Genomic DNA, 27,600 nt, shown 5'->3' on the forward strand with positions numbered 1-27,600 from the left:
AAAGTGCTGAGATTACAGGCATGAGCCACTGCACCCGGCCCATTAGCTCTTTTATATCACTCTTTTATGGAGTTCACAGGATCACATACACAATGTTGCAGTCTGGATGCCAAATAAACACAGTTGGATTTTTAAAATTGTTTAATGCATGTACTTTATTAGAATGATATTTTGAACACTGAGATAATGTGATTTCATTCTGCTCACAGTTACTCTAGTACACAGATTTAAAACAATGGTCAAAGCAGCAATTACATTAACTCACTGCAGGAGTCATTATACACTCAGGTAGTACTTTGGTAAATTACAAAACAAATGTACACAAGGGCACTTCAGTAGAAATTAAATCAGTTTGGGGACACATCAGGCTGCTAAATTCTGTACTAGAATCCAACAGCAAATGAGTCATTCTTGGAAGTGGAAGAACTCCATGATTTCACAGCCTAGAACACTAAGTATGACCACCAACGCACCATTTCAACTATCTAACAACCAATGGGAGAGTCAATTGTTCTCATCCCAACTGCCAAAAGCAAAAGGCAGGCCATCACAAGTTGGCTTGTTCACCTTCTAAAGACATGACTTTATTTCTGCCTAAGTCATCTATATAAGCGAATCTAATAAATACAATAAAATGTAACCCAACAAAATTCTCATGTCACTTTTTACAGACATGGGTATATGAGAACCATGGAGGTGCTAAAGAAAAATAGAAGCATTTTCTTATTATCATATTACCATGAAATTAAATTTATGTCTGTTCTAAGGAAAGAAACTAAATGTCCTGTTTGATATTGATGAGTAGGCCTACTCATTCTCTACCAAAATCCTAAAAAAAATAAAAATAAAATTTCACTTAAAAAATAATTTCCTAGGAGGGCACAGTGCTGTAATCCCAGCAATTTGGGAGGCCGAGGCAGGTGGATCACGAGGTCAAGAGATCGAGACCATCCTGGCCAATATGGTGAAACCCTGTCTCTACTAAAAATACAAAAATTAGCCGGGCGTGGTGGCATGCACGAGTAGTCCCAGCTACTCCAGAGGCTGAGGCAGGAGAATCGCTTAAACCCAGGAGGCAGAGGTTGCAGTGAGCCAAGATCGCGCCACTGCACTCCAGCCTGGCGACAGAGCGAGACTCTGTCTCAAGAAAAAAAAAAAATTCCATCTTTTAGATTATGTGCTAATAATTCTCTTTTAAGTGTTGGAACAGGGGAAAGTTCACATTATAGAGTACAAAGGATCAAAATGGATCCCTCCAAAATGGACATCCCCCCAGAAAAATGCTTATAACTTTGAAACACTTAAGACATACAAAGATCTGGCCAGGTGCGGTGGCTCATGCCTGTAATCCCAGCACTTTGGGAGGCCGAGGTGGGTGGATCACTTGAGGTCAGGAGTTCGAGACCAGCCTGGCCAATATGGCAAAACCCCATCTCTACTAAAAATACAAAAAAATTAGCCGGGCACGGTGGCGGACGCCTGTAATTCCAGCTACTCGGGAGGCTGAGGCAGGAGAATGGCGTGAACCCAGGAGGCGCAGCTTGCAGTGAGCCGAGATCGTGCCACTGCACTCCAGCCTGGGTGACAGAGAGAGACTCCTTCTCAAAAAAAAAAAAGAAAAAAAAATACAAAAATTAGCCAGGGGTGGTGGCACGCGCCTGTAGTCCCAGCTACTCAGGAGGCTGAGGCAGAAGAATCGTTTGAACCCGGGAGGCAGAGGTTGCAGGGAGCCGAGACCGCACCACTGTACTCCAGCCTGTGTGACAGAGTGAGACTCCATCTCAAAAAAAAAAAAAAAGAAATACAAAATCTGTAACAAACGAACAGCTGATGGAGAACAGGACAGCATTTACTTCTGAATCTATAAAGTACTTAAGAACTTATACTTGTGGAAAATCACAATGACAATGAATATTTCACCAAATAGATGGTGGCAAATAGTTTGGCAACACATATTAGAAAGGTGATTTCTATACTACACATAAATGAAAGACAAACCGAACCACAATTGATGTTTTACTACATTAATGTAATTTACACTATGCCTATACCCACATGGCAAATTCAGTTATAACTGAAAAACTAGAGCAGTCCCTTTTTTTTTACTATGATTTGCATATTTTCCAGTATCCTAATACATGCATACTTATCTTTTATAGATTATAATAATCTACATTTAAAATTCCATTTTAATATTGTGGCATGAAAAATACAAACACCAATACAGTATGTTTTATGCTTACTCAAAGTTAACTGGCTCAGAGTTTTAAAAGCTTTCCCGGATAAAGCAGAGTCAAGTCTACCCTATATCCCCATCCTATAAATTCCTCTTTGTCGAACCTGGCAATCTCAGTGAGCTATGATTGCACCACTGCACTTCAGCCTGGACAACAAAGTGAGACTCTGTAACTATAAAAAACAAAAACAGACAAACTTGGCTATCTACCTCAATCCATCAATCACCCTCATGCCTTTGAACTTGACAACATCACTCCTCATCTTAGTTTTTAAAGTAAAAGATAGGAATAGTAATGTAAAGCATTCAAAACAAAAATGAAACCTGCATATTTGTTTATTTATTTATCTGAGATGGAGTTTTTGCTCTGCTGTCCAGGCTGGAGTGCAATGGCGCGATCTCGACTCACTGCAACCTCCGCCTCCCAGGTTCAAGCAATTCTCCTTCCTCAGCCTCCCCAGTAGCTGGGATTACAGGCACCCACCACCACGCCTGGCTAATTTTTGCATTTTTTGGTCAAGATGAGGTTTCACCATGTTGGCCAGGCTGGTCTCTAACTCTTGACCTCAGGTGATCCACCTGCCTTGGCCTCCCAAAGTGCTAGGATTACAGGCTTGAGCCACCGCGCCTGGCTGAAACCTGCATCTTCAGAATGTCATTTTTGTGCGTTAGTTTTCCTTTGCCTGTTGGTTTGGAAATTCTCCATGTTCCTAAAGGTAGCTTCCACATTTCTGTTCCAAGAACTGATTAGAAAAAGCAAGATGGTTTCCCGCTTTAGTTGCCTCCCTTTGGTTCCTCACCTCTCAGACAACAAACAGAATGTTAACAGTCTTTCCTGTGATGTTTTTCCTTCTTTCACCTAACTTCCCTTGAAAAAAAAAATCAAAATATTTATTTAGCACTTTTTTCAAAGGGCAATTCCTGATTAATATAGGCAGAAAAACTCAAGATTTATCTTCTTCCATTTCCAAAAAGGTAAGAAGATGTAAATATTTATATTGGGCCCTCTCCCTCCTCATACATTTTTACCCAAAGCTTAAAGAAAAAAAAAAAAGTCAACTCAAAACACAGTTGAAGGTATATACTACATCAACTTTTTCTTTTGTTTCTGCCACAGAATTCCATGTCATTCTTAAGATTCAGTATTTTTCTCACATCCTATTACTTTATATACAAATTGCCATATAGCAATTTTTAACCTATTTCCTCATCTGCTGATAATCACTGGGTCTCCACTATAAGAAAATTGCCCCTAGTTTGTCAAGAGTCCTTAAAAATAACGTATCAATAATTTAAAACTGGTGAAAGAGCTATGCAAGATTGTTCCCTTTAATTTTATATTACTCTAAAATATACATATGTACACATACTCACACATATAACAAATTTACATAGTTTGCAGAAATAAACTACGGAAATAATTCCAAATACACATTTAGAAATTCACATTTTAACAGCAAACTTACATGCAGATAAAGAGAAGTATAGTTTTATACTTCCTAAGTTACACAGCAAGCTGAAATGGAGAATGTTTTAATGGTCATTTTAGATTTATTCTTTCTCCTAAGTCTTAGAAAATGAGCAAAAAGGAGACATAAAACTCAAGCTATGTCTATAGCAGTATCAGTCAATGTGGTATTATTTTTATTAACAAATTATTCAATTGCTTACTCTATACAAAAAGTGATATACACATACTATAATACTATATGCAAAACACAAAATAGCGTTAGAGATAACAAATGAGAACTTCATACAAAATACTTGATTCCATCAGTATTTAACTTTTGACCGGAAGACTCAGCCTGTGCATTCTTTTCTGATATTAAGGAATAGTCACATTTTTACAGTATTCTTAACTACAGAAAAATAGGAATAAATGGAGGGGAGGGCTGATGAGACAGCTGAAATACACATTTATAAATATGTATACAATTTAGTAATGTCACATCATCTGAATTAATTTCTTTTCTTTCTTTTTTTTTTTTTTTTTGAGATGGAGTTTTTCGCTCTTGCTGCCCAGGCTGGAGTGCAATGGCATGATCTCAGCTCACTGCAACCCCCATCTCCTGGGTTCAAGTGATTCCTCTTTCCTCAGCCTCCCGAGTAGCTGGGATTACAGGTGTCTGCCACCACGCCCAGCCAATTTTTTTTTTTTTTTTTTTTTTTTTTTTGGATTTTTACTAGAGACAGGGTTTCACCATGTTGGCCAGGCTGGTCTTGAATTCCTGACCTCAGATGATCTACCCACCTTGGCCTCTCAAAGTGCTGGGATTACAGGCATGAGCCACTGTGCCTGGCCAAATTAATTTCTTTTGCATGGTTGCTTTCACCAGTAAGTGGTCCAGAATACAAAATATGGTAACAGAGAACTGTTTTCATACTTATTCCTTGGTACAGTTATTAAAAATAAAAACTCGCATTTTAGGATTAGGGAAGTCTGGAAAAAAATTTTTTTAAACTTGGAGATCACATATTGAATAGCTGTCAAAATTCAAACTGACTAGTTTTGAAGAACTTCAAAAACGTGTTCAAATGAATAAAGAACAAAAATGATCAAAAGAAACCCATAGCTGCCTAAGAGTCTTAAAAATTATTAATGTGACACTCTCATCTCTCATCAAGTGTATCCAAACCACTTCTCATTTGCTCTTTCCATTTAAAGACTCACAGTAGCTTCACTACACATATATTTATACTGAACATGTACAGCGGAACATAAATATGATGAGCATTTATGAAAAAACTACTATCTAAGTGGTTTACACTGACTTGTGCGCTGATCTAGTGAGTTAGGAGACCTTTTTGATCTTATCAGTTTCTTGACATGCTCAGTGAAAAACTGTTGCACAGAAACTCTAAGTCCCAGCTGGTAATCAGGCCCATCGTCCACTGGAGGCAAAGCTTCTGCTGAATGAGAAGTTGATTTCAGAGTTCTTATATTTTCCCCAGGCACCAAAAGGCACTACTACTGCAGTACTGTTATCCTCAGTACCGTACTGTATTGCCTGCAAGGTTTGGCAGGAAGAAAGAGAAAAACATTGGAAATCACAGTCTATACAAAGAGAAATCAGCCTTTCCTTCCCTTGGAAATACGCTTCCCCTAGAAAGCCAAACTGGTCTTATGTGCAGTTACTAACCTACTTATTTCACAATGGTTTGTGATTTTCACCCTGTATTAATGCCCACAAGGATTATTAAATTGCACACGGAATAACAGATGACCCAAAACAACCATATTAACTATATTCTGCTGTAGCAATTTTGGCAACAGAAACACCAGTGGACTAAGGGGCATTGGTATGCAGCTCCTGAAAATGAAGATACCTGTAAAGCATTCAGCGTAGGGAGTAACACACGGTGAGGACTTGATAATTGTTAGCTCTTACCAGGAATTCAATTCCCTTTAGGGAAATTTACCCTAATGGAATAAAAACCTTGGAAATTGAAAGACAAAAAAACTAGCCATAATCGTAAGAGAAATACAAATGGCTAATAAGCCTATGCAAATAGCTAACTCCACCAACAAAGAAAAAAGATAAAAATTTCTACACTAAAATTTGATTTTTCCATCTATCGAATTGGTAAGAAAAAAAAATATGGTAAGAATTTGGAAAAACAAACTGTAGAACATGCTAGTGTAAATTGGTATAGTATTTCTGGAGGATAATTTGGCAAACTTATTAAAAGCTCTAGAACATTGTGTATTCTTTCATCTAGAAATTTTATTTATTTATTGAGACAGGGTCTTATTCTGTCACCCAGGCTGGAGTGCAGTGGCACGATCTCGGCTCACTGCAGCCTTGACCTCCCAGACCCAGGTGATCTTCCTACCTTAGCCTTCTAAGTAGCTGACACCACAGGCATGTACCACCATGCCCAGCTAAGTAAAAAAAATATTTTTTTTTGTACAGACTGGGTCTCGCCATGTTGCCCAAGCTGGTCTTGAACTCCTGGGCTCAGGCAATCTTCCCATCTCAGCCTCCCAAAGTGCTGGCATTACAGGTCTAAGCCACCAAACCTGGCCTAAAGATTGTATTTCTAAGGGCTCAAGCAATCCTCCCACCTCATCCTCCCTCATAGCTGGGACTATACATGCATGCCACCACACCTGGATACTATTCCTAAGAATGAAACCTATTTCCTGAAGGAAACAGATATGCACAAATAGACATCAGAATGTTTATTACTGGGCTTCCTCTATAGAATGGAAAAAATAAACATAAACTAAATTTCTTGACCAGAGGAACTGTTAAATGAATTATGTATAAGAATAAAATGGAACACTATGCATTCATTACAAATTTCATTACCTTTGTGAATTAGAATGCAAATATCTGCAAGACAGGCAGCTGAAATTAGGAAAGAAGTGTTCATCCATGAAATTGGGCCTATTTCCTCAATTTCATGAATACCCTGTTTAGCACGGGTGAAGGCAGTAACCAAATGAATAATTCATATATTATAATCATGTTTGCCCATCTAAGCAAATAATACTTTTAAAGTAAGGTCTATTATCTTAATTTGGGAAATGCAAAAATAGCTGTTGAATTAAAACATGCCTCTAATATTTTAAATAATACGAAGCATAGTTTATGTTTTCTTTACTGGATATTACCCAGCTTTCTTTTAATTTTAGTTCTGACTGACACACAACCTCATCCCTATGCCTTTTGGTATTTTGGTTTATCTTCTCCACACACCCATTCTGAATAACCAGAAGGTGACTATGCTATATCTTCAAATTGGATATTTGCTTGGAGCACTCTAGTTTAACGGTCAAGTGGTTGGACTTGGGAACCTAGTTGTCTGGGTTTGAAGTCCAGTTCTGCAATTTAATAGTTTTATGACCTTCAGTGATTAACTCTGTAGCCTCTGTACCTGTTTTCCTCATCTGTGAAAAAGGACAATAATAGCTCCAACCTAATAGGGTTATTGTGATGATTACAATATATGTAACTGTACATACTGTACAATACATACAGTAATGAGCTAATACATATGAATATTGTCTGACACATAGCAAGTGAATATTAGTTTACTATTATAATTTACTATTGCTGTTACTATCATTTCAAGGTATATACAAAGCCAAAGAATAAACAAAGCACATTTCCTTGGCATATTAAAATTTTAACTTGGGGAAATAAAAATTTTATAATTGGAAATATTATGGAATCAAGTGTAAAATTCACTGCAACACTCAAAAGCTAAAACACAATGCCTGGACTGTCCTTTCCTTCCTTCTCCTTGGGACTTTTCAGGCAGAAGCTCTGGGTCACCTGTTCAGTCACCGCATGGGCTGCTTCGTTGGGATCATGGCACTGATTGACAAAGTCACAAATCTCTTGACTATTCACCATGAAGTTAATTCCATCTGTGGTGAGGACCAGGAAGCTGTCATCAGCATGATGTAACTGCAATCAGAACCAAATGCCTATGATTATAAGCTAGACTCTGCCTTAGCACAATCTCGCTAATTCAAAGATTTTACCTGTTTTGCTAAGCGGTCATCTGTGTAACAGCTTGTAAGCTGATATGGTTTGGCTGTGTCCCCACCCAAATCTCATATTGAATTATAGCTACCATAATTCCCATGTGTTGTGGGAGGGACCTGGTAGGAGGTAACTGAATCATGGCGGTGGGTCTTTCCCATGCCGTTTTCATAATAGTGAAGTCTCACAAGATCTGATGGTTTTATAAAGGGTAGTTCCCCTGCACATGCTCTCTTGCCTGCCACCATATAAGACATGACTTTGCTCCTCTTTCACCTTCCACCATGATTGTGTGGCCTCTCCAGCCATGTGGAACTGTGAGCCCATTAAACCTCTTTCCTTTATAAATTACCCAGTCTCAAGTATATCTTTATTAGCAGTGTGAGAACAGACCAATACATAGGCAAACAGTGAAAATGTAAAGCCTACCTGTTGGGCAAAAGTAGTAACATTTAGAATTAACCAGCAAGGATAAAGCTAATATTTAGTTAGTAAAATATAAATAGTAGTTAAAAGTAAAGAGTAAAGAAGTTGCAATCCTCTGAAATCCCATCACCAGAGGTAATCACGCCTAACAATTTAGCAAACACCCTTCAAGATATCTTGATTTAATTCCATAATTTAACATCACAAAGGGAGAATCCAGATAGCCCAATGGTGAGAGGTAGCTCAATGTAATGGTTATGAGTGCTGTCTCTAAGAGCAGGCTTCTAGGATTTGAATCCTGCCTCTATTATCTGGCTGGGTGAGCAGAGGTGCATTGACCTCTGTATGCTTTAGATTTTCCTTGAAAAATGGGGATAGTAGTACTTATTTTGAACAGAGCCCAGCACATAGTAAACTCTGCCTAAGTATCTGTTAGATAAAATGAAGTGGGATATCTATAACACACGATGTGGGATATCTATAGACTTGAAACCCTTCATGCAATTAATTAACAAGTGTTTGCTGCCAGTTTTGGAAGCCTACACTATACTGTGCTAGAGACTATAGTGGCTCAGGAGTTTTAGAGAACTGTCAGCTCATGGACTGGGTGTGTGTTGGGGGGCAGTTCAGGACAATGAAGACACTGATTAGTAGCATGCAAAGGATGCCACAGAAGTAGAGGTGGGCGATTATTTGGCTTGGTGGAAAAGGGAAGTTGGGGCAGCTTCCAAGTGGAGGTGATGCTGGCTGATTGGGTGCAGGTGATGCTGATTGATTGGGTGCAGGTGATGCTGGCTGGGTGCAGGTGTTGCTGGCTGATTGGGTGCAGGTGATGCTGATTGGGTGCAGGTGATGCTGGCTGAATGGGTGCAGGTGATGCTGATTGGGTGCAGGTGATGCTGATTGACTGCGTGCAGGTGATGCTAGCTGATTGGGTGCAGGTGATGCTGGCTGACTGGGTGCAGGTGATGTTGGCTGATTGGGTGCAGGTGATGCTGATTGGGTGCAGGTGATGCTGGCTGATTGGGTGCAGGTGATGCTGGCTGATTGGGTGCAGGTGTTAGCTGATTGGGTGCAGGTGATGCTGATTGGGTGCAGGTGATGCTGGCTGACTGGATGCAAGTGATGCTGGCCGATTGGGTGCAGGTGATGCTGGATGACTGGGTGCAGGTGATGCTAGATGACTGGGTGCAGGCGATGTTGGCTGATTGGGTGCAGGTGATGTTGGCTGATTGGGTGCAGGTGATGCTGGCTGTGTGCAGGTGATGCTGATTGGGTGCAGGTGGTGCTGGTTGACTGGGTGCAGGTGCTGCTGATTGGGTGCAGGTGATGCTGATTGGATGCAGGTGATGCTGATTGGGTGCAGGTGATGCTGGTTGATTGGGTGCAGGTGATGCTGGCTGACTGGATGCAGGTGATGCTGATTGGGTGCAGGTGATGCTGATTGGATGCAGGTGATGCTGATTGGGTGCAGGTGATGCTGGCTGATTGGGTGCGGGTGATGCTGGCTGATTGGGTGCAGATGATGCTGGCTGATTGGGTGCAAGTGATGCTGATTGATTGGGTGCAGGTGATGCTGGCTGATTGGGTGCAGATGATGCTGGCTGATTGGGTGTGGGTGATGCTGGCTGATTGGGTGCAGGTGATGCTGGCTGACTGGGTGCAGGTGATGCTGATTGCTTGGGTGCAGGTGATGCTGGCTGATTGGATGCAGGTGATGCTGATTGTGTGCAGGTGATGCTGGATGACTGGGTGCAGGTGATGCTGCATGATTGAGTGCAGGTGATGCTGGCTGATTGGGTGCAGGTGAGGAAGAACAGCAGGACCATTTCACCAGGAGAATTCCATAGCTGGGGTGAAACAAAAACCTAACACTTCAAACTGAGGGAAGCCAAAATATTTCTCCCCGAAATATTGAGGATTGCTAAAGTCAAGTCACTGAAAAGGCAGGGGTACACTTCCTCAGCCTCTACTTGCCTGGTGGCAGGACATCAGTCCTTCTTTACTGGAGACAGCACTTGTTTATTGGCCCAGAGAAGGAACCAGCAGGCACCAGAGAAATCTGGGAACAGGTTTTACTATCTCTCCACATTTTCCTGACTTTTAAAAGACTGAAACTGTTCTCTTCTTTATCTTGTCACTATGCAGGATCTATGGCTATTTAAATACAATTTAAGCAAAGCCCCTAAGCCACTGCCTTGGAAGAGAAATACTTTTAACTGAGGCCTTTCCCGTACAATGGGTTCAGCACGTGCAAATGTCTGCTTGTTTGTTTGTTGTTGTTGTAGTTAATCTGACTTTTATTTTCAAGAAAGTGTCTCAACTAAGAACCTAAAAAGGGGGAAAAAGAGAATTGTTTTGTCCTCTACAATAAATTAGGCCAGAATAGTAGCATCTTATTTTACCTGAAAAGTTTTTTTATCCTTCCATAAATTACTCCCTTTTAAAAATCATTTTGGCTTCAGTTAAGGCTTCCAAGAAAGGTGCAGCAGAGACAATCCTACATTCACTCTCCGCAGGTTTATCAAGTGTTTGCAGGTCCTTTCTTACCTTAATCCTCTTAGTTTCAGGTTCTGCTATGACACCACTGGTCTTAAGGTCCAAATCTCCAATACTTCTTGTCATTGCAAGCCTGCCATTTACGTGAGGCTGCCCCAAACTATTCCAAGCTACAAAACCACCACATTTCTTGATCCTGTTAAAAGTTAAATGACAATGGTGTGATATGTAGAAAACCCTTTGGGAGGCCAAGGAGGGCAGATCACGAGGTCAGGAGATCGAGACCATCCTGGCTAACACGGTGAAACCCCGTCTCTACTAAAAAACAAAAAATTAGCCGAGCGTGTTGGCAGGCGCCTGTAGTCCCAGCTACTCAGGAGGCTGAAGCAGGAGAATGGTGTGAACCCGGGAGGTGGAGCTTGCAGTGAGCCAAGATTGCGCCACTGCACTCCAGCCTGGGCGACAGAGTGAGACTCTGTCTCAAAAAAACAAAAAGAAAACCAAGTCACTGTTAAACTTAACCATGACATCAGTTTAAAAACTATTATGAACTAAAAACATCATCCACATAGAATGATATGATGGATCAGTGGTGGTAGTACCTTTCTTTTTCATCTTTTCTTTCTGGAGTATGGTCAATGGTCAGCTTCATGGGTTTTCCTTTTCTACACAAAATAGCCCGGCTGTCCCCAACACTGGCTACAACCAGTTCAATACCATCTCGCAATAGGGCTACTGTTGCAGTAGTCCCAGAGGTCAGAAGAGTTGCTACAAGTATTATGAAAAAAAGAGTACAAGTTAGTGACAGTCAAATGATTGGATATGGAATTTTTATTACAAAATAAAACACAAGCATGATAAACTAATGCTGGAATATATCATTCTAATTTAACTAGAGCTAAGCAAATAAAATGCAAATGAACTATGTAAGTAACAGCATGCAGAGAAACAAGTATTTAATTCAGTAACAAGTCTCCATGCAAACGGAAAGGTTGCTAACCTTATTTGGCAAACACTGCATCACTATCTACAAATGGCCTCTATTCATATCAAGTAGAGCTGACTTGAACTTATAACAACACCTTCATGGATATCTGGTGTCCAGACTGAAAGTATTAAAATTTAATTAGGTTGGCTATGATGGTGGGATGACTTAGGTCTACTTGAGCCCATGGAGGCAAGCTGACTTTTCTATAGTCTATGGATTTAGAAGGTTTTCTCTTCCATTTTTCACTCCTATGCTGTGAACATATTATCAGTTAGTAGGCTAAGTGAGACATGCCAAGGGTATACCATTTGCATATTCTACCCCTGTATGCTTCTAAAACTGTTTTAATTTTATAAATGTTCACCAAAAAAATCCTAAAATGGTTACAGGCTCACATTCTTTTCTGTTTATCTTTGTCCTCCCTAGACGTGAAACAAAGTTACAACCATCATTACAGGAGCAGAAAATCTGGGGGAGGGGAGGTGGAGAATGAAGTTCATTCTAGCTTCTCATAAACTTGGTGTAGTTAACACTCCTAACTCCAGAAGGTTGTAATACAAAGAGGTAGTCTTCAAACGCAGGGCAGTACTGCCAGCTGCAACTCCTGGGGTCCTGTTTGGGCCCAGAGCATCCCACAAATATGAATTTTCTCTAATAACAAATAAAATTCATTGTTACTGGGCTTGAGGTCACCGTTTCCTCCATCCAACTCAGACTGCATTTCTGCATCTTCCTTTGATTTCCTCTAACAGTGTCTGCCCTAAGTTCTTTACCACTTGTTAAAAATTGTTAATTTGCATTGAGCCTTGTCAAAAGTGAGAATATTGTGAAATTATGGGCTAAAAAATAAAACAAAGTGGAAGAAATCGGAAAAGATAACTTATTTAAAGCAGGTATTGTCTTTAGTAACACTGTTAACTCTTTAAAACATTCCAAAGATGACTTCGATTTTAAAGGTACATTTAGGAAAAACGAAGTGCTACTAATTTGACTGATTAAGACTCAATCTTTCCAAGCTTTTTTTTTCTCCCCAAAAAGATAATTTTGAAAACTTCATCAGTAATGCATTGGAAGGAGATATATACATAAATAGATTTTTCCAATCAGTATATTAAAATGCCTGCTTTAATCAGAAAAGTAAGATGGAAAAGCATGAACAAACTCTACTTAATCTTTTATAGTCATGCTGAACTTTCTTGAGAAATAACATTTATAGTTGCACTATCTTTCCATTTTTCTCTTGATTTTGGAACTGTCGTGCCAATGTAATATTTCTGCAATGTTGAAAGATACATTTGTCCACCATATAACATAAATGTTTTAGCATAAGTATCAGTGATATTTATATTACAAATGTTAACTCGTAACTTTAAATTACCCAAACGACTATGAAACAGTGGAATCTTTACAGTTTGACTAACTATGATATTTCAAACGATTTAAAGAGCCAGATAAGGGAACACGGCATTTATTCAGATGCTACCTGTCCCGGGAATTTAATATTCCTTCCATTTGTTTAAACCATCTACAATAGTTTTCTTAAAAATGGTTTATTATTGGCCACAGTAAAAGAGTTAAAATTTCATAAGTAGAAGTTTAGTTATTTAGGCTTGTAATTTATGGCTCTGTCACCTAGGAATTTTAAGACTTTGAGTTTTTACCAACCCAACTTCACAGTTCCAAAATCCCAGGATTTATAGGAAAGGCTTCAAAACTAACTGTCAATTCTGATTTGCTAAGCATTTAAGAATGTAAATATTAAATCAGCATTCATTTTCATTTAACATTTAACATGGAAGTAAAAATTCTCACTTTTTGCCTAACAACAAAACTAGAAAACTAAGACATCTTTCAATAAGTTCTTAACACTCACTGGACAATTTCTACTGCAAGTCATCTCAACTAATGGGACAAAGAGATGTGGGAACCTTCCCGTAGTCCAGGATAGGAACCGCTGGACTCCTTCACCTGGGACAAAATTAAGCAGATCTCTCTTTCCACTGAAGCCCCGCATATAGTGTCCACGGGCTCCAGGTCTAGAGCTGCTGACCAGGCACAGTTCTCTGCCACAAATAACACGCACAGAGGCAAATACGAATTTCACCCAGGAATTGTGCTCAAACATTACAAACCTGCAACACAGGGGAGAGCAGAGAAAGAGCTGCAAAATAAGGGAAGGGTTTTTTATTTTGGTGAAAATTTAACTAGCAAATTATATAATATTCCAGGAGATGCCAAATCAATTATTCCAAAACTCAGTTTGTTCCAGTTGATGGTATTTTGTAGTTGAGCCTATTTTTTCATCACAGGGTAACACTTCTTTCTTAATTTTGTGGTTTCTAAGGTTGAAAAAACTATATAAAAAAGTATCTGTACCAAGACACATAAATGGTGACACAGACCTACATTTAACACACTCACAAAAACACTCACGCATATACACATTCACTGAAATAATTGGTCTTAAACACAGTAAATCACTACCTTTACTGAGTTACAAAAAATGCACTGTAAATTTGTTTGGTAGCAATATCAGAATTGTCTCAAGAATAGAAAGGTAAATCTACAGTTACAGCATGGAAGAATTTGTATCTGACAAGCAGGATGTAAACTACAGTATACCACCAAATTACTGGGACTTAAATATATATCAAGAAGGAATCAAAGCACCCGCTATACAAGATACATAGAGTAATGCATTTGTTAATGGTGCTTAATGCAGAGACTTAGTACCTATAAGGCATTTTTGAGTAGAATGATTAATTTAAATTCATTGCTTAAATAAAGGCTAGCGAGACGCATGTTTATAATTTTGTATAATTCACAAAATGGGTATTTCTGCAGCTCTCTCTTTCCCCCAGTGTTGCAGGCCGACACATCAAAAGAAAAATGATCAAGATTGTGAATGCCAACATAAAGAGCAAAAGCTATACTTTTCAAAGTATAATGACCCCTAGTAATTACTCAATTGTGTAAATAATACTATGTATAAACCAATACAGTTTCAATATTTATTAAAAATGGGTGTTCTAGACTCATGACTCATGAACACCAAAATCAAAGTAATGAGCTGAAGCAGTAGCAGCACGGTAAGAACATCTCATCAATGCTCTCTTTTTTTTTCTTTTGGCTGTCCCGGCATAGGGGATTCAAAAATGCTGTGTTTACAGCCCTGGTTCTTTTGTAGTTTAATTCTTCCATAAAGAGGTCACAGGATATGAAGAACATAAAAGTTTCTGGTGAGACTCATAATGCCATCAATGTCCCCCACTCTGAATGTCTGAGCAAGTCTTCTCTTTTTGTTCCATTTGTCCCTTTCGGAGCTTTGTTGCTTTCAAAGTTTAAGCAATCTGGAAACACTCTGAAGAGCTTATAGGAAATATAGAATTATAACCTAATTTTCTACCATCTAGTTTGTTCTAAGTGGCTATCTCTTTATAAACAACGGACTGGTGGGATATCATCCGGATTTACTGGCTGCTTTTATTAATTGTAAAAGTAGACATTACTGGTATAAATTGAATAAAAAAATTAAAAGATGGTGATGAAATTTGCTACTGATAACTAAGGACAGGTTGAAAATGCATTAACAAAAAAGCAATAAAAATAGCTGACAATTTCTTAAGGGCAAGGGAATCTTGTTCTTGCCATTTCTTGATAAGTGGCATTTTGATTTTATTCTTTTCAAAATATCCCCAGCTACAACAGTAAATTATTTTATTTTATTTTCTACTCAAACAATAAGCTTTTATTATATTTTACAGATCAGTCATCCAGGACATGCTGCGTCTGTGGTTGGCATCGTCTCATTTCTGAAAGGACTGAATGCACATAAAAGTCTCTTGCCCACGCTGAACTCACACATGCCGGGCAGAAAAGAGCTCTCACTAAGTGTAACTTGAGTGTGAACTTGCTCAGGCAACAGCAATGCCATTCAACAGTAAATATTTTAAATGTTAGTAAGATAATTTGAAGTTCTTTATGTAGCTGTAACAGCTTTGGAACTGAAGTTGAGAGGAGATAAGAATGTTTTAATTTCACTTAAGAAAGTTAATATGGTATTGATACAGGAGCTAGAAATAAATTATGTAGGCACATAGTGAGGGTAAAGGAGTCCGTGGCAAGGCTTCCCTTTTAACAAAAAGCAGCCTCCAAACCATTTCTTTTCTAACAAAGAGCAACCTGAAAAATTGAGCTGCAAACATAAATAAGCAAGCTGGAAGCTTGCACAGGTGAATGCCAGCAGCTGTGCCAATAGAAAAGTACTACCTGGGCTGGGCACAATGGCTCACGCCTGTAATCCCAGCACTTTGGGAGGCCAAGGCGGACAGATCACCCAAGGTCGGGAGTTAGAGACCAGCCTGACCAACATGGCAAAACCCCGCCTCTACTAAAAATACAAAAATTAGGTAGGCATGGTGGCAGGCGCCTATAATCCCAGGTACTTGGGAGGCTGAGGCAGGGGAATCACTTGAACCTGGGAGGTGGAGGTTGCAGTGAGCTGAAATTGCACCATTGCACTCTAGCCTGGGAGACTAGAGCAAAACTGTCTCAAAAAAAAAAAAAAAGAAAAAGAAAAGGGCTACCTGGGGCCAAGCATGTTCAATATGTTCCATCTTCCCTTTTCTTTGTCACCATGTGTAAAGAAATGGGCAACATGGCGCTGGCCAGGTAGAGAACCCATCTGCATAATAAAAGATTAGGGTGGGGGTGGCCAGATTCTTGAATGCTCTGCAAATTGCACACCTAGGCCTAATCAGTTTTTCGTGTGCTATGCAAATGGCACATCTGGTCCAACCAATCTTTCATGCCCTATGTAAATCAGACACTGCCTCCTCAAGTTCATCCATAAAGCCTCCTGCACTTCACCATGGACTAGAAAGCTGTTTGGGACCCCTCTTTTTGCAGGAGAGAGCTTTTCTCTTTCTTTCACCTATTAAGTCTCCACTCCTAACCTCACTCCTTGTGTGTCCTCGTCCTTGATTTCCTTGGTATGAGACAATGAAACTCAAGTATTACGCCAGACGAGCAATGCTGCTTCAGTAGGACTGAGCGGCACGCCTCTCTTTTATACCTAAAATCTCACCATTAGTAATTCACTTCTATGGTTTAAGCCTTTTTCAGGTGTCTGCTAACTAAAATTCAAATCCACCCAGGAGTGACAGCTCATTAAAATGCAAACATTTTATAATAATTTGATTAAATCAGCTATATGATAATCAAAGAAAAAATTACAGTAACTTCAGTGAGAAAGAGTCAGCGTGGAGATCTCAGTTCAATCCAAATAATTATTGAGTACCTGCCAGGTTCTATGCAGGGTGCTGCACACTGGAGATTCAAAAATGAATAAGCCACAGTCCTTCACCTCACAGGAAGGGTTCAAGAAGAGGGGAAAGGGGTTAATACTAAAAGAGAAAAGATGAAAGAAACTGGAGAGGGTAAACTGCACTTACTACAAAATTTTGTTTCACTGGCACTGGTCCTATCTATATACATAGGCCGAAAAGAATATTATCCACTCTTATAATACTGATACTGCTTCAGTTCTTGCTAAAAACTAAAGTTTTAAACTTAAATAATAACTTTGAAATTTAAAATGACATTTTAAAAAATCCATAAACTGAACAGTTACACAACATATGGCATTCTATCTTTAGTGGCTTTAATGTATTTGATAAAATAGGCCCTAAATATCAAGACAATTTTTGCCATCTTTGAAGGCTCTGGCAACTTATCAAGAATAAAATTTTTAAATGTTCTCAAAACACTAATTTTTAAAAAACACAGACCGATAAGAATATATACAAAATAAGATTTTAATAACAAATAACAAATTTAATAACAAAATAAGATTTAATAACAATATTATAATAGACCTTTTCTTTTAGTACACACTAAGAGCATCATCTTGTCTTGCTCCATTATACTTTCAAACAAATTACCATTATATGAAAAATACATTTTAAAATATCTTAAGAATGTTCTGGGATCATTACTTCAAAGCATATGATAGAGGAATTAAATTAAATAATGCATTTTAATTTCTTTATTACAAATGAATTGATTTTAGTAAGAATAAAAAATATGGAACTCTTCATGCATTTGTGTGCCATCCTTGCACAAGGACCATGCTGATCTCTGTATCATTCCAATTTTAGTGTATGTGCTGCTGAAGTTAGCATATGAATTACATTTTTGTGATTAATTTCTTTATACAACTGTTTAATGTTTTTGTGACAAAGGTATCTTTAGAAAGTTTCTTTTAAGATAGGCAAGTTAATTAAATTCTTTAAGTTCAAAATTCTGTTGAGTTATACTTCATTCAATAATAAAAGGAGTCCTGTCATATTTTACATCAAGTCAATCACCGATTGGTTTAAGCATCTACATTGACTAGATACTTTTAAAAGAGGCTGATGGCATTGAGAAGGCCAATGTTTTTGGTTGGTGGTCACATGCCTGGGATAAATTTGGACATTCTCATCCAAAAACCTTGCCCAGTAAGCTGCAGCTATTTACAGAACAGCTGGGGCACACCACCGACACTACAGTCAACAAACATTGTGGTGTGAGACATAGCCAGATGCACAGCCAACTCAGTTACTATGAAATAAGAGCATACCAAAATTCAGGAAGTAATAAAAATAAAACCATAAGAAAATATTTCATTTCCTCTTTTCCTTCATGTGTTTTAACTATTTGGAACAAGAGCTAAGTCTTATGCATAAAGTTTACCTCTTTCAGCTTCTGTCTTCTTAAAGGTAAGGGTCCAGTTGAAAGGAAAAAGAAAAATTCCAAAGGAATGAAAGAAAAGAAAATGGGCCTAAATGATCTACAAACTGGAAAACATATCCCTGAAGAGAGTGGACTGTAATGCTTTCCTGAGGAGTGTGATAGTAAGGTTCTCAAAAAAAGCTCAGGAAAAAATCTCAAGATGGTAAATAGAGCCATCGCAGAGTTACCTTCTCCTCTCCTCATGAGAGAAGAGAGATAATGCTGGTGGTCAGGAAAATCCCAGCCCTAACTCTGAACTGACCTTTACCACTCTAATCTTCAGTTCCTTCGCTGTGAAATGCAAACAATCTCTATCCTTATGTATTCCAACTGAAGACTGTGCAAATGACATTTCTGTGGTGCACTTGGTTTCTTTCTTTTTTTTAAGAAAAGGATGAACCAAATACAGATCAAGATTATTGCATGATTCATTTTCAAATCATTTACAAGGTTACATGCACACATTCATTTGGCTGGTACAGAAATTTTCAGGGTTAACTTTAACAGCAAAAGATTTGGGACTAGCTAACTAGAAAACGTTTGCTGAATTTTCGTGAAATGGTTTTGATAAATTTAGTCAAAACCAGAAACATTTCACTTTCAAAATTTAAGGACATACAGTACACAAAATTTTAAATTCAGCTAGCATGACCTTATGCTGAAAATATCACTAGTTACCAGAGAAAAGCTGCAAGATTGAGCTTTTTAAGAAGTGACAGAAAAATATTTTCCTTCTAGTTATACAAATTAGTGCATATTAACCATTGTCTTTTTCTATTTAGGACCTATTTGCAATTTTTTTCTTGTTGGACAATGACTGTCCTCGCTAGATGTGATTACCCTGTAGTGTATTTCAGCACTTGGTCACCAGATCCATCTAAAAAAAAAACCAAAAACCCAAAACAAAACTCATAGTATGGACATTTTGTCCATAAAATAAGCAAACAGATTAAACATTTTTAAAATCTTTTAAAAACTAAAGTACAACATCAGAACTGTTTCGGGGCTTCTCTTTCTGAAAAATTCTCCAATATATTTCATTTAAAAGTGAGGTATTAACATTAATTGGAGTTCCCAACAGCATTTAATGTGATTCTTCATATAAACTCATTTCTACATAAATCCTTACAAACAATTGTCCATTAAAATCCCCTCCCCCAAAGGACTTAAAGTGTTTCCTTTTTACTCCTCCCCCACCCCATGTACTCCCTAGGATCCAAGGAATGTGATAGTTTTACATACCATCAGCAGACAGGCGGGCATGACTCGAAAAGGCTTTATCTATTTCTAGAAAAGCCAAGGTCAACAGAGTTTCCAAGTTCTTCTCCTTAGGAAGCAAATCCCTTTGTGGGGAGGAAAAAAAGAGCCTTAAACAATCATTTTACAATAGGTTTTTCTCCTCACTGTTACTCTAGCTAGCAGTCATTCCACACAACGGGCCTCAGGATTTTCCTGTCAAATGCTGAAGACCTACTGGCTAAGGAATACCTATTGAGAATCCACAAAGTATCAGGCACTGTGATAAGCTTTTAAGGGCACAACAATGAAAGTCCAAGTCCTTGTCCTTGAAGAATTGATCCTCACTACCACAACCCTGAGAGGTCGAGAGTTCCTTCCCATTGTGAGTTCTTTCGTGGAATGCGGTATACACAGGAAGTCAAGAAATGGTCACTGGGAAGTCAAAAATAGTCACATGGTCGTAACTCCATCACATGTTCTCCCTCTTTCAATTTTAGCAGTAATGTGATCCTCAAAAATGCATTAATACTAGTTGAAGTAAATAAACGGAAGAGCTCCAAAATGCCTGCATTAAATGCATTTTTCCACACTAATGCCAATCATCCAAAGCTATTTTCAACAAGTCAGGTATTCAAAGCTATTCACACCACTTGAAAGAGTAATTACCATTTACTGAAGCACTTATCTGTCCTACACTGATGGGAGTAAATGCTTCTCATAGGTTATCTCATGTACATTATGCCACTTCACTTAAAATGATCACAAATTAAGTGCTATAGATTTTGGTTAATGCTTTCCCCAGGGGAGTTGTTAAAACATGCATTTCTGAAATTGTGATAACCATAAGTAATAAATGGCACACTTAAACTACTGCTCATTCGTGAAGCAGCAGCATGCAACCACTCAAGTAACTATGTTTACGCTGGAAGCCTCAGCCAAAGGGTGAAAGTTTAAGTAGGAAGTATAGGAACTGCAAAGTCAGGAGTGAAAGTCATTGTACATACATAATACATTTCTCCATGTGGGTATGACAGAAATCAGCTGCTGCAGGTCCACCGTGTCCATCATACACTGCAAAGTACAGGACCTCATCTGTCAGCTGAGCGAAGTCAAACCGATCTTCATTCTCTTTCCGTTTGCCAATCTGTGAGGCGCACCCCACATTTTCCAAGCTGATTTTGGGAATTGGCTTGCCATACTTAATGCTGGGTGGCAGCAGAATTGGCTCATCAATGCGGTTATCCCAGATCCCAAAATTGTCCCAGGTAGCTGGACTCCCACTACCATCTGGGTCAAACCGAGAACACCTAGGCTCTGAAGTGGAGCTGTGGCACGTGGGTGTCACCCGCCTGTCGTCCTGCAGCAGGCGGGAGCTTAGCAGCACTCTCCTTCTCACCTGGTTCCCACCACTTCTGACCAAAGTAATTAAGGCAGCTGTTGACATAACTCAGCTCCAAAGGACTCAGTGATGAGGGAAAGGTCAATGGAACAATAATGGAATGTCTTCAAGAAAAATGATGCAAGTCACAGGGGACAGAGGGAGAGAGGGGCAGAGGAGGAGAGGGAGAGAGACAGAGAGAGAGAGACCATCAGAAATTTTGAATATAACTGATATGTCATCAAATATTACCAAAAATGAAGCTCATAAAGGATTTGACAGAAAATACATATATTTATGTTATATATTGGGTAGGCATCCAGTAGCCTGCTTCTAAGAACAGTGGATCAAAAATGAATCGATTTTCCTACCGCATTCACAGCATTTAAATTCTATAAAAATTTAACAGTGTGCACATACACAGAACATGTATCTCTTAAACTTGAACCTGCAATCACTTGTTAAAATGCATGTTCTGACCCAGTGGCTATGGGGTGGAGTCACTCTGCATTTCTAACCAACACCCTGGTGATACAGAAGCTGCTGGTCCCCAAGTTACACTTCTAGTAGCAAGAACACAGAATACAGGTATAAATAAATATACTTCCCTTCATTAACTCTATTGCTTTAAAGAAAAGGTAGGGATAAATATTAACAATAGCAACAAAGTCTCTTCAGGAAAAAATAACAGGCTAATAGAATACTTAAAATAGTTCTGTTTCCAAAGAATGGCCAAGTTTTAACAAAAACATAATCTAGGATAAATCTAAGTTTTATTTTAACATTTCTTAACCTACTAAGCTTTACATACTATATTACTATGGTAAATATAAATTGGTGTGCAAACACCCCAGAGGCACAAAGATAAGCCAGTTTTGATGCTCCCCATCCTAGCAGACTCTCTCACTAGGAGGGTATGTGGGTATGATCTCAGGAACCTGGCAGCACTGCATTTGTGACAAGCAGCCCTGATTTCTGAACGAGTGATCTATATATTTACATTCACAGCTGCAGCTCTCCTTTCCCCAACCCTAACAACCCAACGACACTTGAGACTACACTTCTTTGAAACGATTACTTTACACCCCCATTTCTGGACTCCACCCTGAAACTCAATCCTAAAACCTCTCTTGGCATTACAGGGTGTTACCCAGGGGAACTCCTACCCCACTGCAGGTAGAGCTGTTTCTGGGAATTTTCCACACAAATAAAAAATTTGTCTCCATAGGATTTTGTTCTATTACTTTATTCTTTTAAAATCAACTTGAAAAGATGGCAGAATACTAAGGTTTGATGATGTTGGTGGATGGTCTACAGATAGTATATTATTCTCAATCTTATGTTTAAATTATTTCACAATAAAAAATGAACTTGAAAAAATGTATCTTTCCAAAAGGTATAAACATACACAAATGAAACCCAGCTTGAGTGCAGTTATGAGAAAATGCACTACAGATTTCAAACAATTACTTTCCAATGAATTTTTGGAAATCAGTCTAGCTATGTATAGGGAAGGCCATTACTTCTTTCGGTGGGTAAAACAGTCAAAAGAAAGAATGAGGTTCCAAAGAACATCCTTAGGTGTTTATTTGTTTTAATTTCTTGTAGATATGGGTTCTCACTTTGTTGCCCAGTCTGCTCTTGAACTCCTGGCTTCAAGTGATCCTCCCACCTCAGCCTCCCAAAGTATTGGAATTACAGGCATGCGCCACAGAGACTGGCCTCAATCTTTAGATATTTAAGCAATTAAAAAAAATATGAGCTCTGCTGTCACAGAATTTAGAATAAAGATGGCCACCAAAACAAGTAATGTATCATCAAAGACTTAGGAAGTCATCCCTTCTTGGCCTTTTGGCCAAGATCCTGCATAGAAGGCTGAAATTCATTTCTTCGTAAGACAACATTGTTGGGGGGTTGGAGAGTGGCAGAGACACAGCATCTCTGGTTATCAAAGAGAATTAACATGGCCGGACCCGGTGGCTCACACTTGTAATCCCAGCACTTTGAGAGGCCGAGGTAGGCAAATCACTTGAGGCCAAGAGTTGGAGACCAGTGGGCAACTTTGCAAAACCCTGTCTCCACTAAAAATACAAAAATTAGTCAGGCGTGGTTCCGCATGCCTGTAGTTCCAGCTACTAAGGGGGCTGAGGTGGGAGGACTGCTTGAGCCCAGGAGTTTGAGACTACCCTGGGCAACATGGTGAAACCCTGTCTCTACAAAAAGTACAAAAATGAGGTGGACAGATTGCTTGAGCCTGGGAGGCAGAGGCTGCAGTGAGCTAAGATCACACCACTGCACTCCAGCCTGAGCAATGGAGCAAGACATTGTCTATTTAAAAAAAGAGAGAGAGAGCGAGAGAGAGAAATAACACATTCCATTGCAAGAGATGTTTGTTCTTTTGCTTCTAATTGAGAGTTAGATTTTATTCAGCAACAATTATGGATTCAAGCCAGCAATGGTGTGTTAAAAAAAATTTAAAAACCCAATTATGTTAATTATAGGTGATGAATTGAGACTTCAAACTACAATACAATCTACCAGGTAATGGAAGTACTAATTATTTGGAGATAATTCCCAAAGCAGCTTTATATCATATAGAAAAAAAAAAGAACTTTAAAGAAATACAATTATTAGAAAATATTTGTATTTGAAGAGTTAACTTGAGATTAGCAAAATACTATTCTTTTGGCTTCGGTCTGAAAGTATATATGCCATATTCAGCCTTGAGCTACTTTGCAGTCATGCACCTACTTTAAATCAGAGTTCTGGAATTACAAATAAATAAATATTGAAGTTTTTCTGCAACTGTTCTAGTATATTCTTGCCGTTTTATCTCCTCTTTATCCTCCCCCCAATTTTTTTTTAAATAATAAAATAGAACTGCATTCTCACAGAGAACAAATATCCACTGGAAACATTTTTAAGAAATGAGATAAAATGCAAATTGAGCAGTTTCTGTAAGGCTAAAAACCTGCGTATTTTAAAATCAATCATCAACCTGGCATCCTTCCTCGTGTATTGTTTCTATAATCATCTCAGAAAGCAGGCAGTCATAGGAAACCACCTACTTTAAGGCATATTATTGGCAGAGATGAAATGTGACCCAGATATATAGCTAGTTTATAAAAAACAAACAAACAGGTCGGCATCGCTTAGGTAAACGAGATGTTACGAACTGGCTCCATGTCCTTTTCCATCTGCAATGTAACTAAATCATATCAATCCCCTCCATATTCCCTAAGAAACAATTCAAAGGCAGCTGGAGTTCCCAAAGTAAATAACAACTTTGAATTAAACCTGCACATTAAGAAAAGTTTCCTCCTCCAGAACTCCACAATTGGGATCTGCCATCATAGACCCCACAGCTCTGCCGATGCCCATGGGAATGACTATGCTTTGACCAGCAAGGCAAGGGGAGTAGAACTTGTGATGTGAAAAACAAAAACCTTAAGGAAAAAAAAAAAGCAATCAGTGTTCTCTAAACAAAAAGAGTGGAGAACAAACTAGCAAACACCTAAGGATTGTCTTTTGTCAGTTCAGCAATTAAAAATTGGGATGAGTTCATTATTCCACAAACTAAGAGAGAGAAGGAATCTTTTTAAGTAAGCAGGGGAGATTTAGGTCAATTTTTTGATCGGAAAACATGGCTAGTTTATTTTTATAAACCATTTTAACATTATATTCAATCTTTGGAAGTCAAGTCATCCAAAAGGAAAGCACTTTCTCTGGCAGGAAGGTGCACTGGATTTGAGTTAAACTGTTCTTGTATGTTAAAAGCAGGTCAAAAGGGCAGTTTAAGCACATGCCAAAATTATTCAGGAGTTCTAAAGTTCTGAAACCTGCTTAGATTTTATCCCTCTAGAAAAAATATTTTAAGAAAGCATTCCTATCTGCCCATTATGAAGTGGCATTTAGGTATCTACAACTTCCACAATGAGAACACAGCCCTTTTAAATATTCTTAAACCAAATATTTACCTATCGACCTTTTTAGAAAATCAATTAAGGCATCCCAGTAAATTCAAATAGTATGGAAATTTCCAGAATGTATTTCAGCTAATTGGGACCCCAATACCTTCTTTCTCAATACCCTGCTAGGAGGAAGGGAAAGAAAATTTACTGCTTTACCTGAGGGGAAAAAAGAAAACAACAATAAAAACTCCAAAGGACTCCCCTTAGGTTTAATGTGAATATGTCTATGTTCAGATGTGTGACTGGAGAAAAGTGTGAAATGTGAGCAGTGAAAAGTACTCAGTATTCTATTCCCATAGATATCTTTTAAGACACGTTAGTAAATATGCATACAAGCCACAGACTATATCCCAAACCTGTAACTTTATAATGCCTTTAAGAACTTTCCTTCACAGTCTATTATGTCACCAGCCACTCTCCTCTCTTCTTTCCTCGTCTCTAAGGATTGCAGTCAAGGAATTTGCCTGGGTGATCAGTAGTAATGACTAAGGTTGCAAGAAAAAATTATTAGCGAGAACTCACTACTCAAATATTGTAACTAAGGTATTTTATCAGACACACACACACGCACGTGCTGCTCTTCTTCCTGCCACAGCTGCCTAACCAGAACACCACAAACCATGGCTGTTTTTCTTTTTCTTTCTGAGACAGGGTCTTGCTCTGTCGCCCAGGCTGGAGTGCAGTGGTGCGATCTCGGCTCACTGCAGCCTCGACCACTCAGGATCAAGAGATCCTCCCACCTCAGCCTCCGGGGCTGGGACCACAGGCACATGCCACCACGCCCGGGTAATTTTTGTATGTTTTGTAGAGCCGAGGTTTCGATGTGTTGCCCAGGCTGGTCTCGAACTCCTGGGCTCAAGCCCGCTTTGGCCTTCCAAAGTGCTGTGATCACAGGCGTGAGCCATTGCTACCGGTCTCATTGCTCTTTTTCATCGTCATTGTAATCTGTCACTTTAGTCGCTCATTCTGAAACCGAAGGACAGCCTCATTCCTCCGCCCTGACGGAAAGAACCGATGAGGCCTTGCTGCACGTTAGCAGTGGGAGGCTCAGAAAAGCCCGTGGAGCTTTTGAGACTGCAAATTCCCTGGCTATTTCCACCTGGAGCCTCTTTGTCACATCCGGTGAATTCCCTCATCTACAGAAAGCGGCTGCTGAAAAAGACATCACCAGCTACAACGCCTTGAGTACTACAGCGCTCCCTGCGCAAAGTAAAACCCAAGTCTTCGGATCAAAACCAGCCGGGGCTGTGCATCCTTCACGATGCCGGACCTCCTGAAAAGCTCACCTGGGTACAGCTCAGGATCCTGGCCTCGGCTCGCTGGCCCTGACAGGCGGGTGGTCAGGGTGACACACGGTGGGAAGAACACACGCCCGCCTGCCTGCGAAGCCTCGCAAATAGCTGGGCTCCCTCGGCACCTTCTGCCGCCAGGTCTCCGCCTCCCAACCTCCCTCTGGGCGTACCGAGCCCGTTGTCGCCACGTTTCCCTCGCCCGGGAGGCAACGCGGCACCCACCCCGCAGCATCCTCGCTTCCGGGGCCTCGGGCAAGGGTCTCCAGTCCCAGCCCACCCACCCTGCCCGCCTCGCGCCGCGCTGGCCCTCCAGCCTGCGGCCACATTCAAGGCCGAGCGCAGTCTGGGCTGGAAACCCGCCGCCCGGGGCGCAGGCAGCCCAGCTGGGCCCCGCCTCACCCCGACGAGCTGCTCACGACCTCCAAAGGGAAGAAAGCGACGCTCTGAGAACTCCGAGAGGCCGCCGGCCAAGCGCCGACTCGGGGGGCGGGGGAACGGAAACCGACGTCTCCCCTTCGACCTCCCGGGAAACCCTTCTCCGTTTACTCTCCATTCCGCGACCGCCAATAAAGAACAGCATACATGGTTAGCAGAAATAAATGAATTGCACTCTCTAGGCTCTTACCTCTGGATGGCTACGTCCCTGAAAAATGTTTTAATTAGCTAACGGAGGACGGGGGAGGAGCTTTCTTGGTCGGTAAATAAGAGTGCCTTCTCCGTCGTCTCGGATCTCCGAAGCAAGCAGTCAAAGCGGCCACTGCCTTGCCTGCTGGAAATTCTCGAAAATTTTTCTCCCGCAGTTGACCAGATGGAGAGGGAGAAGTCTGTTCCCGCTGACTGACAGCAGATCCGGCCAGTCCGCACTCGGCGAGACGGCTGGCCGGCCGCCCGGGCCCTCGATCGCAGCCAGTCACAGATGCCGATGGGAACGAGCCTCCCCGCGGCTGCTATTTGACTTCGCAGGCTTCCAGCTGCGCGGCGGAGCGACGTCACCCTGTGCCAGTGGTGGCTCGCGGCGGCGCCCCGCCCTCCCGAGGTTAGCTCCCCAGCCAAAGAGGGGGCGCGCTTGCGCGGTGGGTGGGGCCGCGAGACTTGGTACCTAGCCAGCGGGCGGAGCGCGGAGGGGGTTTCGCTTCGGGCTAAGGGACTGTAGTTGTGACAGCCAGGAAACCGAGAACGGAATGCCAATACTGCTTAGGCTTAGAGTTTGAAAGGCATCTGATTTCACTGCCATGTCTTTGAACAGCAGTGCACAGTGCAGTCTTCTTCGTGGCTGAACAGGTATCTTGTGATCTTTAGGGA

The 27,600-nt window shown here is 40.1% G+C and overlaps 1 protein-coding gene, 1 long non-coding RNA gene and 1 pseudogene across 12 annotated transcripts in view, besides 6 other annotated features; 1 reads left to right on the forward strand and 2 right to left on the reverse strand.

Moving 5' to 3' along the window:
• PPM1K (protein phosphatase, Mg2+/Mn2+ dependent 1K) lies at nt 138-27,079 on the reverse strand. 9 transcript variants are annotated; one of them, NM_152542.5, is made up of 7 exons: nt 26,924-27,079; nt 20,662-21,160; nt 19,661-19,761; nt 11,259-11,424; nt 10,708-10,852; nt 7,519-7,653; nt 138-5,244 (listed from the first exon to the last, which is right to left on the reverse strand). In NM_152542.5, the coding sequence occupies exons 2-7, from the start codon at nt 21,099-21,101 to the stop codon at nt 5,113-5,115; spliced, it is 1,119 nt and encodes a 372-aa protein (NP_689755.3). In that variant the 5' UTR covers nt 21,102-21,160; nt 26,924-27,079; the 3' UTR covers nt 138-5,112. The 9 variants fall into 9 exon arrangements, with proteins under 9 accessions (NP_689755.3, XP_016863292.1, XP_006714174.1 ...); XM_017007803.3 differs by lacking the exon at nt 26,924-27,079 and adding an exon at nt 26,698-26,743; XM_006714111.5 differs by lacking the exon at nt 26,924-27,079 and adding an exon at nt 26,293-26,743.
• Nucleotides 9,395-9,894: an enhancer, noted in NCBI's record as "H3K4me1 hESC enhancer chr4:89188029-89188528 (GRCh37/hg19 assembly coordinates)". NCBI's record gives its function as "activates a minimal SCP1, AML or CMV promoter by ChIP-STARR-seq in primed H9 embryonic stem cells {active_cell/tissue: H9 hESC(primed)}" and the evidence as "EXISTENCE:reporter gene assay evidence [ECO:0000049][PMID:30033119]".
• Nucleotides 17,724-17,825, reverse strand: RNU6-112P (RNA, U6 small nuclear 112, pseudogene; annotated as a pseudogene).
• Nucleotides 26,862-26,921: an enhancer, noted in NCBI's record as "active region_21710". NCBI's record gives its function as "activates an Ori minimal core promoter by ATAC-STARR-seq in GM12878 lymphoblastoid cells {active_cell/tissue: GM12878}" and the evidence as "EXISTENCE:reporter gene assay evidence [ECO:0000049][PMID:35858748]".
• Nucleotides 26,962-27,051: an enhancer, noted in NCBI's record as "active region_21711". NCBI's record gives its function as "activates an Ori minimal core promoter by ATAC-STARR-seq in GM12878 lymphoblastoid cells {active_cell/tissue: GM12878}" and the evidence as "EXISTENCE:reporter gene assay evidence [ECO:0000049][PMID:35858748]".
• Nucleotides 26,962-27,487: a biological region, named in NCBI's record as "OCT4-NANOG hESC enhancer GRCh37_chr4:89205598-89206121".
• Nucleotides 26,964-27,487: an enhancer, noted in NCBI's record as "OCT4-NANOG hESC enhancer chr4:89205598-89206121 (GRCh37/hg19 assembly coordinates)". NCBI's record gives its function as "activates a minimal SCP1, AML or CMV promoter by ChIP-STARR-seq in primed H9 embryonic stem cells {active_cell/tissue: H9 hESC(primed)}" and the evidence as "EXISTENCE:reporter gene assay evidence [ECO:0000049][PMID:30033119]".
• Nucleotides 27,222-27,441: a silencer, noted in NCBI's record as "silent region_15562". NCBI's record gives its function as "represses an Ori minimal core promoter by ATAC-STARR-seq in GM12878 lymphoblastoid cells {active_cell/tissue: GM12878}" and the evidence as "EXISTENCE:reporter gene assay evidence [ECO:0000049][PMID:35858748]".
• The window catches only part of PPM1K-DT (PPM1K divergent transcript), a 56,728-nt gene continuing 56,575 nt past the window's right edge, over nt 27,448-27,600 (forward strand). For all 3 annotated transcript variants that reach the window (NR_134238.1, NR_134236.1, NR_134237.1), the window contains exon 1: nt 27,448-27,579. This is a non-coding gene — a long non-coding RNA (PPM1K divergent transcript). The remainder of the gene's footprint in view (nt 27,580-27,600) is intronic.

The sequence above is a fragment of the Homo sapiens genome, chromosome 4 (genome assembly GCF_000001405.40).
Source record: "Homo sapiens chromosome 4, GRCh38.p14 Primary Assembly".
Lineage (NCBI taxonomy): Eukaryota > Metazoa > Chordata > Mammalia > Primates > Hominidae > Homo > Homo sapiens.